Consider the following 6,411-nt stretch of genomic DNA (forward strand, 5'->3'; position numbering starts at 1 on the left):
AACCTAAATGTACTTCCTGCCCCTGGATATACACTTAAAAGTGGTTAAAATGGGCTGGGCAAGGTGGCTCACGTCTAGTCCCAGTACTTTGGGAGGTTGTGGCGGGCGGATCACGAGGTCAGGAGATCGAGACCATCCTGGCTAACATGACAAAATACCCTCTCTATCTCTACTAAAAATACAAAAAATTAGCCGGGCGTGGTGGCATGCACCTGTAGTCCCAGCTACTCAGGAGGTTGAAGCACAAGAATCGGTTGAACCTGGGAGGTGAAGGTTGCAGTGAGCCAAGATCGTGCCATTGCATTCCAGCCTGGGTGACAGAACAAGACCCCTTCTCAAAAAAAAAAAAAAAGAAAGAAAGAAAGAAAAGAAAAGAAAAGAAAAGAAAAGAAAAGAAAAAAAGTGGTTAAAATGGTGAATTCTATGTTATATATATTTTACCATAATTTACAATAATTCCTATTGTTTTGCATAAAACAGCTGTAGAAAGCTTTGCAGGTCATGAACAGCACAGCTGGCCACTGGGGCTGGTGTGGGGCTAGGACCTGGGTGCACAGGGAACAGGTATGAGACACAGGCTCTTCATGCCTGCACACACATATGGATACACAAGGATGCAAATTTCTGAGCCATCTAAATACAACACCTATTCAAAAAATCAAACAGAAAAAGGAAATGAATGGAGCTGAAGGATGAGGGCAGGTGGGGCGGCTGCTCGGGAGGACTCTGGAGACCACTTCACCCAACATTCGAGGCCTCTCTTAGCAGCTGGAGCTCATCCGGGGGACTTAGGAGCTCTGGAAAGAGGAACAGGAGAGGGCCATGGCCGGAGGAGGCCTGAAAAAGATCATCTCTGCCACAGAGAAGATGCTGGCTCGGATACTGGTGTCCCCCGTGGAGGCAGGGAGACCCAGGGAGACAACTGTATTCATTCAAGGAGGAATGGGTGGTGGTGCAAACTTGGGTGGAGGCCACAGGGTGCAGAAGACAGGACACAGCAGAGATAGATGTAGGACATGGAAGGGACAGAAAGGAGTGATCACTGGACGTAAAGGGGCAAGGAAAGTGGAAGCATGAGAACATCTGCTGGGCATCCGGCTGAGAGGTTGGGTGTCCAGGGTGCCCTTCCCTGAGGGAGAACCCAGGACAGGAGCAGATTCAGAGAAAACCACCCAGCTCACTCCAGCAAGAAGCAGAAAAGGGACTGGTTAAAGGACAGGGTAGGAAGGTCACCAAGCTCCAAGGGCCCTCATGAAGCCAGCTTGGAGGCCACAGGGCCCAGGGCAAGGACCAAACCACAGGCACAGGACAGCTCCGGTCAAGATCTTCTGGCCACTGCAGGAGGCAGAAACCACACCCTGCACCCTGCACTGCTGAGGCTGGCCCTGGAGTCCAGAAGCTTCTACACCAGAAGCTTCTGTCCCCCATCCCCACTCAAAAAATTAAAAACAAAAAGCAAATCGGTGCCATGCACCCTCTGCTTCCTGGTGCTGTTCGGGATCCTGAGTCTTTCACGGGGGCACCTGATGGGGAAAGCCTGGACCCGTGTCTGTGTCCCTCCTGCAAGGAGTGCTGGGAAAATGAACTTTCCAGCTTCCTCCTTGGGAAGACAGAACATTCCCCATGTGTACTGGTGGCATTTAAAAACTGCACGGCAGCCAGAGAACATGGACCGTGTTCCACCAGGAGAGTTCCTGGAGGGATGTCCCGGTGCAGACGCCCGTCCCAAGGTGGGTATTTGAGCTGAGGAACTGAGAAGCCGGTTTCTGCCTAGAGTTAGAGATCCGACAGGCATCAGCACATGGAAGGGAGGGAAGCTACGATGCATCGAGGGTGGGAGATCAGATGAACCAGGAGAGGCAGGGCCCGGGAGGAACCCCGGGGAGCAGCCGCCTTTAAAGCCTGGGGGAAGTAGCTTCAGAGAAGGTGAGGTAGGTTGGGTGGGGGTTGCTGGAAAAAGATAATTAAGAAACAAATTTCTGCTCAGCCCAGAAACCCCCGTCATATCCGTAGAAGCAAAAGAAACCTGTCTTATGACTGAGTAAGCATTAAGCCAAAATGTGATGCAATCTGCTAAGAGATGACAAAGACAGAAAGAAATCCCACCTTTGTATCCAGCCAAGCAGGTGCAACCCGTTACACACGTGGTCTCCAGATAGACGGTGACTAGTTCCCAGTTGAGAGGACTCAACGGCACCATTTGTCACACATAGTTCATCCTAAATTCACCCAGTAACTGTGTTGATTCTCTGTGTGGTTAATTGGCTTTATCCACAGGAAAAACAAACCTCTCTTATCTATGACAGGAGGTAGTTTTGCAACTGGGAGTGAGATGCCCCCAGAACTGAGGTTCCTTCCTTCTCACAGAAACTGGGAGACAGGGGCGCTTTCTGCCCGGATGCCTGCCTTTCAAAGAGAGGGCTCCTATGGCCTTGAGGAGGACAGTTCTGGGTTGTGAGGCAGGCAAGATGCTTATGTATGCTTTAGAAAGCTTTACATACATCTTCAAGGGACAGAGAAAGAATTTTCAATTACACCTCTTCTAAAAAATAAATGCTCTCAAAGTCCAGCCTGGGCAACATAGCAAGATCCAATCTCCACACACACAATAATAATAATCAATTTGCTGGGCACAGTGGGATGTGCGTGTAGTCCCAGCTACTCAGGAGGCTAAGGAGGAAGGATCACCTGAGCCCAGGAGGTTAAGGCTGCAGTAAGCTTGGATGGCACCACTGCACTCCAGCCTGGGTGACAGAGGGAGACTCTATCAATGAATGAATGAATGAATGAATGAATGAATGAAGAGAAAATGATCTGAGTGAAAAGAGGAGAGTCTCTTTATCTTTTTGCAACAGGCTAAACAAAATTTTTAAAAATGTATATTTGCCTCACAGAGATTATTCCAGGAAAAGAAGTGGCCCTCAGTGTCAAAGGATGCAAAACTAACCTGTGAGTTCCTGGCAGGTTTAGCAATAAAGCAGGATGTTGCTGATCTCAGTACAAGCAATGTTAGAGAAAGGGGAAGATGGAAGTGGACATGGACGAGTGAGTGGCAGGTGACAAATGGAAGCAAAGAAACGTATCCAGACCACTGAAGATGCTTGACCGAGAAAAAAGAGGCGGTGGAGGGAATGGAAGCCCAAGGAAGTCATTTGTTGCAATAAGAGGCCTCAGAGCACGTGTAGGGTGCGGGGCAGAGCCCATGCAGAGGGGCTGTGGAAGGCTGGTAGGGTGCAGGTGGCCCCACTCTCCATCACCCTGAGGAGTATGTGGTCAGAGTTAAAGCTCAGTCTGTTTCTGGGATCAGGTAAGAGGTCAGCGTCCGGAGAAGAGAGGTGGATCTTCAGATCCTGCAGACCTCCACCGCGCCCTCTGTCCCTCTTGACTGCTTTTTCTCCATCTCCATTGTCTGGCTCACATTCCTGTCACGTCTTCCTTTCTCCCTGCCCCTCTTTTCTCTTTTCTCCTCTCTTTTTCTTAACCCTTGTACCTTTGGAAGTCCCACTAATAGAATTTAAACAGCTTTTCAAGTTGGTTTTTTGTTCCCAGAAATTGACTTTAGACTCTCCATGAATAATGTGGAAATCAAACGAGTATAAGCTGGTTCATGTCTCTGCAATTAAACAAATAAAATCAACATTCCAATGCTTTCTTCTTCCAGAGTAGCCCACATTTGATTTTTTTTTTCTTAATTACTGTCACTTGCGATAGATTTTTAAATCTTGTAACCTGGTTACACAAATACCATGGGGCAAAAGCCTTACTTCCTGTGAGAGGAAACCAGGCTTGACTAGCCTCATGCTGGCTTTGAAGAAGTAAAATCAGGGGTTGATGAATTTGCATAGGGTAAATATCAAAGGTCAAAAGTCAACAATAGGTGGTAGAGGGAATACCCCAAATTATAAAAGAACAAACTGTTTAAGCCACAATAGAATTATCGTAGAAATAAACCACGGTCCTTCCCACTAAAATATTCCACTTAGAATTGTAAAATATTTTCCTCAATAACTCCTGGAAGAGCCTATTAAGAAATTAACGAGGCTGGGCGTGGTGGCTCACACCTCTAATTCCAGCACTTTTGAAGGCCGAGATGGGCAGATCACTTGAAGTTAGGAGTTTGAGACCAGTCTGGCCAATATGGTGAAACCCCATCTCTGCTAAAAATACAAAAATTACCCAGGCGTGGTGGCAGGCGCCTGTAATCCCAGCTACTCAGGAGGCTGAGGCAGGAGAATCACTTGAACCTGGGAGGCAGAAGTTACAGTGAGCCAAGATTGTGCCATTGCACTCCAGCCTGGGGGACAAGAGCGAGACTTCATCTCAAAAAAAAAAAGAGTCAAACTTGAGCCAGGCATGGTGGCTCACACCTTTAATCTCAGCACTTTGGGAAGCTGATGAAGTCAGGAGTTCGAGACCAGCCTGGGCAACATGCTAATACCCTGTCTCTACCAAAAATTTAAAAATTAGATGGGTATAGTGGCTCATGCCTGTAATCCCAGCTATTTGGGAGGCTGAGGCACAAGGATGGCTTGAACCCGGGAGGTGGAGCTTGCATTTAGCCAAGACTGTGCCATTCCACTCCAGTCTGGAGTGAAAAAAAAATCCATCTCAAAAAAAATCACAAAAAGAATAAATATGGGGCCTTATGACTGTATATTACTGGGCTTCTGACCTAGACTGAAAGATCAGGGAAGACTTTCCTGAAAAGAAAGTGAGCTATGATGGGCCCACTGTACTCCAGCCTGGGCAACGTAATGAGGCTCTGTCTCAATAAAAACATGCAGAATAAAACCACAATAAGAAAATAAGACAATAAAACCACTACAGAACTATTAGAATGGCTAAGATTAAAAAGAGTGACCACGCCAAGTGTTGGCAAGGATGTGGAGGCACTGGAACGCTCACGCTGCTGGTGGGAATGTAAGATGGTACAACCACTATGGAAAGCAATCTGGCAGCTTCTAAAAATTTCAGCATACACCATGCCACTCGTCAATTCCATTCCATTCCCACATGATTTTTATTTAAAGGAAAGTCAAGTGGAATGATCTTTAAAGCATTTTTGCCTGACAAATAGATGAAATGTGGGTAGCAGCCCAACACTCCCTGGTCAGTCTTCACAGGGCATATGTGGCCTTATGGCCCCCAGGAAATATGGCTCTTTCCACAAGTGCTATGTCCACTCTCTTCACCAATCCTAAGATGTTAGTTCCACAGCACTGCTAGCATTGGGCTTTGTCTATTTCTTTCTTTCTTTGTCTTTTTTGACAGGGGGTCTTGCTCTATCATCCAGGCTGAAGTGCAATGATGCAATTTTGGCTCACTGCAACCTCCACTTCCCAGGCTCAAGAGATCATTCCACCTCAGCCTCCCAAGTACCTGGGACTACAGGTGCACACCACCATGCCTGGCTACTTTTTTATATTTTTGGTAGGGACGGGGTTTCTCTATGTTGCCCAGGCTGGCCTGGAACTCCTGAGCTCATGCGATCCGCCCGCCTCAGCCTCCCAGAGTGTTGGGACAGCAGGCGTGAGCCACTGCTCCTGGAGTGGGCTTTATTTATTTCTATTTCTATTTCCTTTTCCTGTATGGTGAAGAGATTGAAAAGCATGCCTTATTTTGCAGGAAGAGATGGAAGGCTAGAAAGAGGAAGTAAATTGTTCAGGTAATAGTGAAATGATAGCAGGTCTAGAATATCAGCCTCTTTACTCAAAGCCCACAATTTCCAAATATCACAACTTCCTTTCTCTTTATACACTTTAGGGATTTTATTTATTTATTTATTTATTATTTTTTGCCAAAGTGAAACTCCAGGTCAAAGGACTTTGTTGGTCTAGTGTCAAATTAGCTTCCAAGGTGTTGATCTAATCCATGGGGCCACCAGCACTCAAGGATATAGGCGCACAGCAATGTCAGCCTCATGTTGTAATCCTTTTATTCATTTTTGCTCCTCTGGTCAGTACACGAAGGCCTGTAAAGATCCTTTCTTTTATTTTTGAGATGGAGTCTCACTCTGTCGCCCAGGCTGGAGTGCAATGGCACAATCTCAGCTCACTGCAACCTCCGCCCCCTGGGTTCAAGCCATTCTCCTGCCCCAGCCAAGTAGCTGGGATTACAGGCACATGCCATCATGCCCAGCTAATTTTTGTATTTTTAGTAGAGACAGGGTTTCACCATGTTGGCCAGGCTGGTCTCGAACTCCTGACCTCAGGTGATCCACCCACCTCTGCCTCCCAAAGTGCTGGGATTACAGGCATGAGACACCACACCCAGCCAGGCCTATGAAAATCTTTAAGTGTAACTTTTCATTAAGTGCCATAGATCCCTCCTCTTTATAACATAAAGTCCTGTAAACTGCATGCAGGTCAGTTTGCCATAGGAATAATTTGTCTTTGCTGGAACATGCTGGGT

General features: G+C 46.9%; 1 annotated feature.

The window, feature by feature from the left end:
- Positions 806-995: a silencer, noted in NCBI's record as "fragment chr19:43847602-43847791 (GRCh37/hg19 assembly coordinates)". NCBI's record gives its function as "represses an EF-1alpha promoter that drives an FKBP-Casp9 reporter gene in an ReSE screen in K562 erythroleukemia cells {active_cell/tissue: K562}" and the evidence as "EXISTENCE:reporter gene assay evidence [ECO:0000049][PMID:32094911]".

This window comes from Homo sapiens, chromosome 19, assembly GCF_000001405.40.
Source record: "Homo sapiens chromosome 19, GRCh38.p14 Primary Assembly".
Taxonomy (NCBI): domain Eukaryota; kingdom Metazoa; phylum Chordata; class Mammalia; order Primates; family Hominidae; genus Homo; species Homo sapiens.